This window comes from Homo sapiens, chromosome 11 (genome assembly GCF_000001405.40).
Source record: "Homo sapiens chromosome 11, GRCh38.p14 Primary Assembly".
Lineage (NCBI taxonomy): Eukaryota > Metazoa > Chordata > Mammalia > Primates > Hominidae > Homo > Homo sapiens.
In genome coordinates, this window is record NC_000011.10 from 27,570,841 (window position 1) to 27,584,994 (window position 14,154).

At 37.4% G+C, this 14,154-nt stretch overlaps 1 long non-coding RNA gene and 1 pseudogene across 5 annotated transcripts in view; both read left to right on the forward strand.

Annotated features, from left to right (window-relative positions):
* Positions 1–14,154, forward strand: part of BDNF-AS (BDNF antisense RNA) — a 191,320-nt gene that overhangs the window by 63,989 nt on the left and 113,177 nt on the right. For 2 of the 5 annotated variants that reach the window (NR_002832.2, NR_033314.1), the window contains exon 3: positions 13,429–13,497. The exons of the other annotated variants lie outside the window; for them this stretch is intronic. This is a non-coding gene — a long non-coding RNA (BDNF antisense RNA). The remainder of the gene's footprint in view (positions 1–13,428; positions 13,498–14,154) is intronic. 5 annotated transcript variants of the gene reach the window in all.
* Positions 10,781–11,260, forward strand: RPS25P1 (ribosomal protein S25 pseudogene 1; annotated as a pseudogene).

The following is a 14,154-nucleotide window of genomic DNA, read 5'->3' on the forward strand; positions in this document are numbered from 1 at the left end:
ATAACTATAACATTTGAGGTGGGATGATTTTAATAGACCTTATATACCATTTTAACTCTTTTAGGTTAAATCCCACTTCGTTGTTCAGTGATCTCAAAATGTGTTATGAATTCTTTTTGGTAGATTTTCACATCAGTATTTCAAATCACCTTACTCTAGATGTTTTTCTCTTGGGTGTTCTTTTTGTTAATATTTTTAACTTCACAAAGCTCTTTTCTATCATTTTAGTCAGTTAATTGAAAGCAAAGCTTAAAGGAAACCAACATGTTTAAAATAAACTTTTTAGGGTTGGAGACTACATGCTTTTTGTTATTTTTCTTGCTCTGATATCTCATTAGTGTTATTACATTCCTGAAATACCTAAAATGGTTAAAAGCATGAAAAGCACAAGTATTGAAAGACCTTAGGAGACTGCATTTTGAAGCCCTCAAAAATGTGAACCGGGAAATACATAAAACAACTTTGTTTGTTGGGGTTAAGGTCATGGGAAATACATCTGTTTGCATTTGTGGAGTATACTGTCGTAGAAAACTACGCCGCATGAAGCAATGGAGCAAAAAGCACAGCAGCAATATGCGGTTACATCATCTGCTAAGCATGTATATTACAAATTACTTGAAAGCAATAATCATGATATTCTGGATCCCACCAAAATGTTATGATTTAAACATCCACAACAAAGGCTGTGCCCAGAAGCCTTTGTTCTGAGCAGGGTTTATTTGAAGAAAATGGAATGTGATTGTAATAAGAAGCCTGGGCTGGCTGTGTCTCTCCAACTCATTAGGCTGCATGAGGTGGTAGGGTGAAGGGAGATGGGCTGGGGAGAGGCTGGTGAGTTCCACACAACACCCTGGGGCTTCACAAGGGAAGAGGAATGACAGGTGCAGAGGAGATATATGAAGTTCTCCATCAGATAGCTCCTGCAGAGTTGGAGTCCTAGCCTTCAGGGCAGAACTCTCAGGAGGTGCACTCTATCATAGTCAAAAATTCCAGTGATACATTGTTCATGAGAAAAATCAGACAAGGCAATTACAGGAAAGAGCAGGAAGCCACCTCCGTCTTCCAATCAGATTTTCAATATTTAACCATCACTTCCTAAGTACAGTTGGGCTCTCTGAATTATGCAGCATCCACAAGACTGTCGGAGAAGATTTGTTCCTAATAATGGATTTTTGCATCACAAATGAATAGAGTTCTTTGTCTTTATATTCATCTCTCTTCTCTGTGGTTACTTCTTCCTAATTTGCGTTTTTACCTGTCACTTTGCCTATAAGAAATGTGAAAAATATGAAGAATCCTCTTTTATTATCATGGCCTATGAGTGCCCAAACTGTTTGACCCTATATGAATTAAATACACTTTTTTGGATATTTTGTTCTCCCTGTATGTAGGGTTTCAAATGGGTGCAAATAATATACAGTTAAATCTAAATGTGCTCTTTCCACCAGAAGAATAAAGTCTGTTACCAGCTGAAGATGAGAAAGTGGAAATAGGCATAGCTGAGATAAATTAAAAAAAAATGGGAGCCTTGGGCATTTTTCATAACAGCCCTGGAGTTAGTGGTTGGCTGGGAGGAGGGACTGTCCTGTGTGTGGCTTTGAAGTTATGTGGAAGTCATTCACATTTAGCACATTATTCTCAGGCTATGGGGGTAAGGGTGATGCTCATATCTCGTAGAGAGAGAATGTTCACTTACTGAAAGCCTGCCTGGACTTTGTCCTTTTCCAGGCACCATTTAACTATTAGGAGTTCTAGATCATACTTGGCATTAAGGATGTCATAACAAACTCCACTTTCTAAGGTTTCTGATCCTTAAATATAATCAAGAGAAGTAATGGTTTATTTTCATCTGCATGCATTCTCATGCCTTTGTTGAGACTATGCCAGGGAAAAGCAAGAACATCCATTTAATGGGAAGTGTCATATCTTCCTCCGACCCACCCTCCCTTCCTTTCTTCATTCCTTCCTTCAGCAGAGGTTTTCAAGTGCTTGCCATGTGCCAGATAGGCACTGTGCTAGGCTCTGGGGAAATCACAACTAACGACATGCAGCCTGTGTTTCAGGGATGATTTTACATTCCAGTATGGAATACAGAAAAGTGAACAGGCAATTGCAACTCAGTGTAATAAGTAGAATACATCTTCTGATTATAATTATAACAATAATAGGGATGTATTTCTTAGGTCATTCTCTCAACTATCCCTTGAGCTAGGTAGTAATTTTATTCCTGTTTTACTGAAAAAGCTTGAGGCTTGGTCAATTTTGCAAGTTCATAAACTTAGCAAGTGTAAAGCTGGAATTTGAATCCTGGCCTGTGGAATTTGAATCCTGTTTGTGCAGTCCTAGAACTCAAGCACTTAACTTTGACACTAATTGGTTGCTATGGGAAAACATGGTGGTGGGAATGTACATCTGGCATGGTCTTGGAAGTCCCAGAGGGTGGTTACAGAAGGCTTCTTAGAGGAAGTTACAACTAATCTGAGGATTGAAGAGAGAATAATAGTGAAAAGAATAAGGCATGAAGAATAAGCTATATTTAGGTTGGAAACCTGGCCATTCCTACCTCTTAGCTTGGGTAAAATGTTTAACTTCTCAGCCTCAACTGCCTTATCTATTTAAAAAAATGAGGCTAATATTATCCCTATTTCAGAGTTGTTAGAATGAAATGAGATAGCATAGCATATGTGAAAGTTTTAGCATAAGGCTTGGCATTAGGAAGACACCCAGTAAATGTTTATTTTCTACACTTTTCCAAGCAATAATAGCGTTCTGCATTTTACCGTGTGTACCATGGAATGTGTGATCTGCCTTAACCCAAAAGCCATGGGATAATTCAGATAGTTTAAAATGAGAGTTTAGATTATTTATTCTAATTTATATTAGTACTAACCCTAATATTGCCTTGGTTATTTTGGGTATTTCACTTATCTACTTGCCTAACAACTCATTCAGCTATTACTGGGTGTATTTTAGAATAAACATTCCTGGAGGAAAAAGATGTTTGGCTATTTCTCAGAAATAACGGAGCTTGAAAGGAGCATTTATCAAAACAACTAAAAAAAAATCTCTGTGACTGGTTGCTGGATTAAAGGAAGAAGACATGAATCTACAACATAATAAATTACTAATTGTTTCTCAAGTTCATGGCCATTTGTAACATTTAAAAATAATTATGTACATTATGATAGAATTACTTTCAGATGTAAGAAACCCCTCTTCTCCACACCATTTAATTAAACATTAGGTACTGTTGAAACAAATGGATGGAATTGGTTTAGGATAAATGGTTGTACCACTGTTACTGCAAGATGAATACTCATAAGCAAGATTCATAATCTTTCTCATTAAATCTCTTTTCCTCTTATGTGTCATATCTCAGTTCATATCTCAGTTAATATTATCACTATCCTCTAAATTACTCAGGCTAAAAACTTTGACTTATTTTTGTCTTCTCTTTATATCAAACCAGCTGTTAAATGTGGTAGGCAGAATTCTAAGATGGTCCCCAAGATTCCTGCAACCTGGTTTAACACTTTCTATATAATTTCTTCCCTTTAAGCGTAGGTGGGACCTATGAATATGATGATGTCACTTTAGCGATTAGGTTACATTATATGGCAAAGGCAAAGGGATTTCACAGATGGAATTAAGGTCCCTAGTCACTTGATTTTGACTTAATCAAAGTGGATTATCCTAGGTGGGCCTGACCTAATCAGATGAGCCCTTTAAAACAGGGATTTAGCCTTCCTGAGTCCAGACATTTGGAGTAGCAGATGTACTCTTGCTGGTTCTGAAGAAATAAACTGTAATGTGATCAGAAGAAAGAGCATGCGGTGAGAATATGAGAGTGACCTCTAGGAGCTAAGAGGTGGTTTCCAGCCAGTAAGTACCAAGAAAAATGGGGAAGTCAGTCATATAACTACAAAAAAAAATGAATTCTGCCAACAACCCAATTAAGCTTGGAAGCAGATTCTTCCCTAGTCAAACCTTCAGATAGGAATGTAACCCAACTGAAACCTTTACTGCAGCCTTGTGAGACCTGAGCAGACACCTAGCTAAGCCACACCTGAACTCAACCCACAAACTGTGAGATAGCAAATGTATGTTGCTTTAACTGACTACACTTGCATTAGCTTGCTATGCAGCATAGAAAACTAACACATTAAGTTCTCTTCATTCTCCCCTTCCAGTGTCTTTATCTATCCCCTTTTCTCTATTACTATGGCCCTCATTTATGTCTTCATGTCTCTCACCTGAACTAATAACTTTCTAACTAGTCTTGTCATTTTCAATTTTTCACTTCTCCAGGAAATCCACTGCCCCTATATCCACTGTATTCTGTCTTATAGAATGTAGTTTTGATTATATCTCCCCCTTTAAAAATTCTCATTGCTCCCAGTTTTCTCCACTGTCAAGGGAGTATAGCTTTGTCATTTGGGCTACGAGTTTTTGATTTAGAGAGCTATGGATTTGAATTTAAATTCCAACACTTAACTAACTTTATGAACATGGGCAGTGAATAAACATCTTTAAGCCTCAGTTTGTAAAGCAGAGATTATAATTTTCCCTTCCTTATAGGGTTATTGTGAGAATTAAATGAGATAATGCATGTAAAGATTATGTTACATAGTATGTGCTCAATAAATCATAGCTATTATTGTGGTTATTATGTAATTAAATTCAAACTCTTATTCTGGTACTCAAAGTTACTAATGATCCTCAATAGCTTTTTCAGCCACATCTCGTACATCTTTATGCAAATCTTGTGGATCAGCCATGACAACCTATCAAAAAACTTGAAGTCCTTGGTTGCATATTATGCAATACTTTTTTTGGTCTATTTTCTTCCCTCAAATTAGAGTCCCTCCCAACCCTCCACTCTACACTTATCAAAATTTTGTTACTCTTTTGAGGCCTCCCCTCTAACTAGGGCTAGCTTTCAGCTAGCACCTGTAAGTATTCCTTTACTGAGTACTTACAACCCAAGTGTGTTCTGCTTTGTTGGAGGCCCATTCTGATTTGTGGTGCCATATAACTTGTTGGTTTTTCTATCAACCCTACCTACAACCTTCCTTTTCTTTTATCTTTTGACTCAGAATTTATCTTTGTGTTCCTGCAGCAGTTTTCTTGCCCCTATGCTTAGTATGTCAAACTATGTTTTGAACTCCAACCTGCTCACATAGTTGGGTACCTCCCCATATAAAAAAGGGATCATTTTTTATATTCCCAGTTCGCTTGGCACATAATAAGTACTCAAAACCTTGTTGGATGATTAAGAATTAGTTTCACTGACCTCCTTGTCAGTCCTAAGAATGATGGAGCAAATTTTTGTAATGGATAATAACTACTAATGGTTGACTGGCTTTAGAAACATCTTATTTGGCTTAAATAATTAAATATTCTACATAAGAATGCATCAAAGTAAACTATGTGTGCTTTATAAAGCACAATAAAATCCATGAAGAATCTAGATGGCCAATTTATTTAAATAAACATATCTCTATCTTTATATATGCTTCTTTGACGGAATAATTTCAGATCTTCATTGTTCCAACAAATCTTTTTATTCCAAACAATTGCATTTATTATCCTGCAAAAAGTCTTGAGATACCACCTAGTGTAGAGGTCTGGAGACCTGAATCCATGTAAAGTAGGAACTGTGTCTTCCCTTTCTCTCTGTTAACATACGCCTGTTGATACATACACTCTGCCTGGCTTCTTCTTCCATAGCCAGTTGAGGACCATTCTTGCTGGAAAATGTAGACCTCAAATAGAAATTATGCAGCCTTGCCTTCTTTTCATCTGGTAATTATGCATAGATGTTCCCAAGAAGTATTTGAATGCTGAGGAAATCATTTTGTCTTGAGAAATATAATCTTTTACTTTCTTTTTCTCTCCCCGTCTCCCTCCCTCCCTCCCTGTCCCCCTCCTTTCTCACTCTCTTTCCTTTTGAGGCAGGGTCTCACTCTGTCACGCAGGCTGGAGTGCAGTGGTGCGATCTCAGCTTACTGCAGCCTTGGCCTCTTGGGCTCAAAGCGATCCTTCCACCTCAGCCTCCATAGTAGCTGCAACTACAGGCACACACCACCAAGCCCAGCTAATTTTTATGTTATTTATAGAGACAGAGTTTTGCCATGTTACCCATGCTGGTCTCGAACTCCTGGACTCCGGTAATACACCTGCCTCAGCCTCCCAAAGTACAGGTGTGAGCCACTGTGCCCGGCTCACTGTACAGGATTACAGGTGTGAGCCACTGTGCCCGGCCAACCTCATTTCTTTCTGAGCAATAGCTTTTTAAAACTTTATTCTTAGAAGATAATAATAGCAATGATATCCTTTTGTGTTATTAGTTGTATCCTCCTTTATTTCACTTTATATTTATTTTAAATCGGAGCTAGGCAGACTAGTTTCTTTCATGAATTTCTTACTTCTTTCTTAGAATTTTAGAGTCCATGAAATACTGTAAATAATGTGTGTGTGTGTGTGTGTGTGTGTGTGTGTGTGTGTGTGTCTTTAAAAATGTTCACTTTTTGTTAAACTCAGTGCTAGGTATTTTATGTGCATTTTCTTAGTTAATATTCCCAACAAACCTACATGGTATATACTATTACTTCCTTCATTTTTCCAAGTGAAAACAACAAGCTTAGGTTAAGTGATTTTCCTAGGCACTTTCCTTTGCTTTACAAAGGAAAACTCTGAGACTTAAAGAGGTTAAATATCTTGCTCAATGTCACACAACTGGTAAGTCTCGCACCTGGGATTCAAACTTATATGTTTCTTGAGTCTATAGTCTGAGCTTTTACCCTCTGTGCTATAGCTCCTTCCTTTCCTTTGAAGTTCTTGACATCTGCTTTCTTAACATCTTCAGCACATGCCAGCCTCTGCCCTATATTTTCTTTCTTATTACAAATTCCAAGATGACATGGTAACCATTCAGTTCTTCCTTGTAAGACAGAAATTGGTCCAAAAATAGCAGTCTCTTTGCTGTATCTGCTATCATTTCAGAGATGATATTGTCAGTAAGGTAAGTAAAACAGTTTTTAACTACTTTACTTTGAGCTGCAAAGACTTCTAGTAAATGTTGTGAGAGTTTCCCATGAACATATAGCTTACCTCTGTGCCAGTTTTGTCATAGAAGCAGTCCATTATATTTAGTACATGAATGTCCCCAAGACTGTGCAGGAAATCAGATCCACACATATTGAATCGTAGACTTAGGCATTATAATGGAGGACTCTGTTTCCAGAAGAATAAAGAATCCTTAATTATACCACAACTTTTAGAAAAGACAAAAGTTGACAGGACATAGTGGTTGACATCTGTAATCCAAGCACTTTGGGAGGCTGAGATGAGAGGATTGGTTAAGCCCAGAAGTTCGAGACCAGCCTGATCAATGGTAAGACCCTATCTCTACAAAAAAAAGCAAATGGGCATGGAGGTGCATTCCTGTAGTCTCAGCTACTTGGGAGGCTGAGGTGGGAGGATTGCTTGAGCCTGGGAGGTTGAAGCTGCAGTGAGCTATGATTGCACCACTGCACTCCAGCCTGGATGACAGAGTGAAAGAAAAGATAAAATAAAAGTTGATGATGTTCTACTTTTTAATTCAATTTCTTTAATATTAGTTTGTTCCTTTATAACCAAGCATCAGTTTGGCGTCTTGACCCCAATGACCTCAGTTGATGGCAAAGGCTCTGCTATTTTTGTTTTCAGACAGGATTTCACTCTGTCACTTATGCTGGAGTGCAGTGGTATGATCACAGCTCACTGCAGGCTTGACCTCCTGGGTTCAAGTGATCCTCCTACCTCACCTTCCAGGGTAACTGGGACTACAGGCATGTGCCACCACCCCAGGCTAATTTTTAATTTTTTGCAGAAACAGGGTCTCACTATGTTGCCCAGGCTGGGATGGGCTACTTTTGACATACCTAATGACCTCAATCTTGGTTTTAATTGTAATAAGTTTAGGAAAATATATTCTTTATTAGTAGCATTAATATGTTCACCCTTTTATTCCACACTCATATTTTAGAAAATAACTACAGAGATATAATAGATACTCATAATTGCATATACACTGTATTAAGGTCAAAGGTGGCTACATTGTTAAAACTAAGCTGTTTTGGCCAACCAATGGCCAATTTCACCCAATGATAGCTTGAAACATTTTTCAAAAGTTCATGGATAGCTTAATACTTAGGTGGTGGGTTCACAGGTGCAGTAAACCACCATGGCACAAGTTTACCTGTGTAACAAACCCACACATCCTGCGCATGTATCCTGGAACTTAAATTAAAAATTTTAAAAAGTTCATGGATGAATGTCCAAATTCAAGTATTAAAGTAAATTTAGGAGTATAAATATGTCATTATGAAAACTCAGGGCTGCCAGTATATTTTAAAAATGAATTAATTATCTGTAATTTTTATTTGATTGAATAGGCTGTAGCATTCTTCTATAATGATTAACTCTGTTTCTCTCTCACTTTGTCTTAACCCAAATGGTCTTCACTATGCTCCTGGTGACAAGTTTAAGAATTCCCATTAAGATTATATCTTATGTATCACTGGGCTTTCCCCCTTCCTTTTATATTTAATCCATTCATTTCCAGAAGAAATTCTCTTTAGTTGTCATATTCTTCACTGGAATTATACCAAATATTAATAATAACTCATTTATTATTGTTAGCATCAATGGTAGAGTTACCATATAATTTCTTACCTACATCAGAAAATGTGTGAGAGTGAAAGGGAACACTATTAATTGTTACTTTCTTATATTAAAATATCAAATTCACCCTTGTTATCTGTCTTAAGGTCTTTATTTGCAACAAACATAAATCCACTGAAATTAATTTAAGTAAATGAAGAATTTATTGGAAGGGAATGGGGATGGCTTATTAAACCCTAGGATAAGAAATGAAGCTGAGACTTTTGAGGATCTGAACCCAGCACATGGAAAGCCAAGAGCTTGACGTGTTGCTCTGCTTTTGAGGGGTCATAGATTACTAACTTAGTGATTAAGTCCATGCCTTTTTTAGGAGCCATAAGTAATGAACCATTCTCAGAATGAATAGATCAAGGATGCCATGAGGTGTCTTTCCATTACCATTATATACCTATTTATTGCTGTCGTAGTTCATTTTTCACGTTTTCACAAACACCCGTAATTTGCCACGTAAGCATGCTGCCATGTACATAATAGAAGATGAGTAAACATTTGTTGAATGAATAAGTATTATAACTCACTTTTAGAATGCTGTCACATTCCTTCTTTTACATGAAGATGTGACAGTGACATTTGTTCCCCCATTGACTGATTATGCACATCAGTATTGCCCTGGGCAGGATTGATGTGACTGATCTGACACTTTATCTTTGTGTTCCTTGCAGACTTTAATTTTCCACCTAACACATGAAAATCTTAGAAGATCAAATAACACTAGTCCAGGATAATTATCTTCAAAAACCATTTGATTGGTTTTCTTTGAAAGTCAGGCTTACTGACTTGAAAAAAAATTTTTTTTAAGTAATTGAGCAGTTTGAATTAATTAAAAGTCTGAATTAACAAAATCTGCCAGAATAGACTTCATTTAATTTTTTTTTTGTAGAAATTACAAAAGTGCCAGGAATTTAATTCTCTGAGTGACATCCTTGTGGTGAGATTAGGTCAATAAAAAGCTGGAGAAAACAGCCAGAAGTTTCTTCGCACAATTGTTCTATACCAGACCCTCCCTGGCTCCTGTCTGGGGTTTTTCCCTCCCCTTATTGTTCCTCATCAGAATTGGTCCCTGGGACCCTGGTCTTTGGATCTGCTTTCCTCCCAGCGTCTTAGCAAGTCATTTCTGATTCCCACCCAAACTCTTCTGCTCCCATTACCAACAATTCCAACTGGATTTCTAGCATCTATCTTTAAATATCTCTTGACATCCCTTTGTGAAAACATTAATTGTTGCCTCTACTGCATGATTTAGCTCCGCCTCCCACACCACAGACTAAGACTGATTACCAATTATGCACTGCTGGTAAAGATTTGGTTCCTAATTGTGAGGATACATTGTTTTTGTTTGTTCGTTTGTTTGTTTGTTTTTTGTTGTTGTGGATGTTGTTGAGATGGAGTCTCGCTCTATTGCCCAGGCTGGAGTGCAGCGACACAATCTCGGCTCACTGCAACCTCTGCCTCCCGGGTTCAAGCGATTATCCTGCCTCAGCCTCCCAAGTAGCTGGGACTACAGGCGCACGCCGCAACACCTGGCTAATTTTTGTATTTTTAGTAGAGATGAGGTTTTGCCATGTTGGCCAGGCTGGGCTTGAACTCCCGATCTCAGGTTATCTGCCCGCCTCTGCCTCCCAAAGTGCTGAGATTACAGGCGTCAGCCACTGCACCCGGCCTCATTGTTCATCGTTAATATATTTCCAAGCATGGATCTTTGTATCTGCTCTAATGAAGAGATACAACTCGTTTATTATTGTTAGCATCAAAAGTAGAGTTACCATATAATTTCTTACCTACATCAGAAAATATGTAAGAGTGAAAGGGAACACTATTAATAATTACTCTGGAATAACAGGTGCACATCAGGATTGCCCTGGGCAAACTGAGACTATTGTCACCCTAATCATTACTGATTATCTGGCTTCTCTAGGAAAATATTTTGTTTCTGTATTGAGATTCATTTATTTTTCTTCATGTGTTTAAATCTCTTTTTGAGTTTGCTAATTTCTGGAAATAAGCAGTTCAGTAAGTAGATTAGAGATCAGTCTTATTGAAATGCTCTTTAGTCCTTTTTGTCCGACATCTCAGCGAGGCTGCGGTGTCTGCTGCTGCTGTCCGAGCTTCACAATGCCACCCAAGGATGACAAGAAGAAGGATGCTGGAAAGTCGGCCAAGAAAGACAAAGACCCAGTTAACAAATCCGGGGGCAAGGCCAAAAAGAAGAAGTGGTCCAAAGGCAAAGTTCGGGACAAGCTCAATAACTTAGTCTTGTTTGACAAAGCTACCTATGACAAACTCTGTAAGGAAGTTCCCAATTATAAACTTATAACCCCAGCTGTGGTCTCTGAGAGACTGAAGATTCGAGGCTCCCTGGCCAGGGCAGCCCTTCAGGAGCTCCTTAGTAAAGGACTTATCAAACTGGTTTCAAAGCACAGAGCTAAAGTAATTTACACCAGAAATACCAAGGGCGGAGATGCTGCAGCTGCTGGTGAAGATGCATGAATAGGTCCAACCAACTGTACATTTGGAAAAATAAAACTTTATTAAAAAAAAAAAAGGAAAGAAATGCTCTTTAAAAGCGAACAAACGCCATGCCAAAACCTTAGACTTTCAAAACTAAGGAACATTTGACATTTTACAAATACTTGACATGGACACTTTTCTTTTAAAAGTAAGGAATTGATTACCTTGTCAGAAGAAGTTACCTACTTTTTTCTTTATTCACAAATAAGTACTAGTTTATGTACATCAGGATGGCATTAAGTCTTTAGGTTTTTTTTTTTTTAGAAGCCCCTGTGACGTAGACCAGTATGGACCATAATTCAAAGTTCTGTAATAGAAACATGCATCCAAAATTGACTAAGTAGTTTTGCCTCTTTTATGTAGCAATTTCTAAATTTTTAAGTTTTGGATAATTCTTTATATATACATTATATACATATATATTTATAGAATATCTGAATTGATAATTACCTCACAAACCATCTAATTTGGTGGTTTTCCCCCTTGGCTGCATATCTGAATATTTGGAGAGCTTTAAAAAAATACTGTCTTTTCTATCTCCAGAAATTCTAATTTAAGTGGTCTGGGATGGAACCCAGGCATAGACGTTAAAAAAAATGCCTCAGGTGATTCTCATGAGCAGTCAGGGCTGAGGCGTCTCTGATTTAATTCAACCCTGGTGTTTCACATCTGAGAAAATTGAGGCCCCTCTTACTTAGCTGTTACTGTGGGTTAACAATCTAAATATCTCTGTGAATCTCTAGATGTTTTTAAAAGGGCTCTGCAAATGTGACATCACCTTCTTTATTTAGAACTGATCATAATTTTTATGGCTTCCAACAGATGTCTTGGTTTCTTGAATTATCCTTTCACGTCATGGGGCTTCTAAGGCACTTGCTGCCAAAGGAGCCGGAAGGTATGCCTCTTTTTCTGTTCTCCAGGTAGTAGAGCATATTTTAGCTTTTTATTTCTTGCCAGTATTCTTGCTTCACTTTCTTCATTTATCTTTTGTGCACTAAAGTTTGTCTTCTAACACTTTAGATTATGTGGATTACATGCCTGAAGATGTCAAACTTCAAAAATGCTTCTCTTTTGCCTTTATATTTGAATGATAGTTTAGCTCAGGGATCAGCAAATTATGGCCCAAGGGCCAAATGCAATAAGCTGCCTGTCTTTATAAAGTTTTATTAGAACACAACCATGCCCTTTGATTTATATGTTGTCCACAGCTGCTTTCAGGCACAACAGCAGAATTGAGTAGCTGTGACAGAGATTGTACGAGCTGAAAATATTTACCATCTGGTCCTTTACTTTAAAAGTTTTCTAACTGATTAGCTAATTAAACTCTCTGGACTGCAAGAAATTTGTAAGCATTGCGCCTCTATCTTCTAAAGGTAAATAAAGCTGTAGAGATACCAGAGGTCAACTTGATTCCCACCTACACTTCCATTACCTACATTAATGACTTGGTCTTTTTGCATGATTAAAGGGTTTTTTCCTTTATCTCTGAAATCTCATAACTTTTAGGCTAATCTTAGTGTCACTCATTCTTCATCAGTTTTTCTTATCACACTGTACATTTGATTCTTTTTTGTTATTTTTGAATGTTGTTTTGAACACCTATAATCCAAGGATGCCAGTTATCTACATTTTCATTTAACTTTGATGGGCTTGTATAGTTCTATCTTTTTGCATATATATTCCTATTGCTTACTTTTTTAGCCCCGTATTCTGTGTATCTTATAGTATTTTCAGTAATGCCTATTCATCTTTTCCCTGGCTCTTGTATCTCTGCTTTAAGATTGTTAAAAATTCTTAAAATATATGACAATATGCTTGATCATAATTTTGTCTGCCTGGTGACAACATTTTTTTTTTTAAAAAAACAAATGTTCCTTCTTCATCTGCCATTTGTTTTTTCTGTTTCCTTCCTCCTTTTTTTCTTGCAATATCTTTACATAGTTTGTATACTGGTTTCTTTTTAATCACTGTTTATCTTTCAATGAGATAAGTTCTTTCTGACTATTTGCAGGAGATAGGACAGGGTTATGTTTTGAGCTGTAAAGAATTTTCTATGGTTCATAGTTGTGGCATAAACTACTAATTGTATCTTTCAACACTCATTTCTCCTTTCTTCTAAAACAATAGAAACCAGGTTCTATTCATTGTCACTGTGCTCAGCTATAGCCCTAAAATTCTCAACTTTCCTTGCAGGGGGTTATAGCCATGTGACTGATCTTCGTCCAAGAATATGTAAAGAAAAAGTGTTGAGTTGGCTTTTAGGTAAGTACCTTAAATGTGAGAGGGAAATGGAGCCTTCTTCCTCATCTCTGCAGCCTAGAATATGGATTTAATGACCAGAGCTCCAGAAGCCATCTAAAACCATGAGGCGTGCTTGAAGATGGAAGCCATGTACGGAGGGTAACAGAGCAGAAAGTTAGGAGCCTGGCTTCCTGATGACACCATGAAGCCACTATACAAATCTTATTCCTCGAAATTTTAAAACAAAAAATAGCTTTTTTGAGATATAACTTATATATACAGTTCACCCCTTGAAAGTGTACAATCCAATGGTTTTTAGTTTGTTCACAGAGTTGTGCAACCATCACCACAATCAATTTTAGAACATTTGAAATTCTTTTAAATGAGAGAAAAATAATCATGTTAAAGTTTTTTGGGTTTTTTTGATACGTAGTTGAACTTCATCTTAACTGATATGGTAATAAAGCTTTTTATAACACAGAGTTGTGTTAGTGTGAGTACGTGGGTATGCAAGAGAATCGCTTTGCCTTTATTTTTTCACTGCTTACCAAAAGTGCCAGCTTGGAGTTCAGGATCTTCCTCTATCCTGCCTCATCTCACCAATAACTTGCTTCCTGTTGAAATGTCATGTCTGTGCGGTTCTGCTTTCAGTCCCAGCTTCCCTACTTCTCTAAGGTG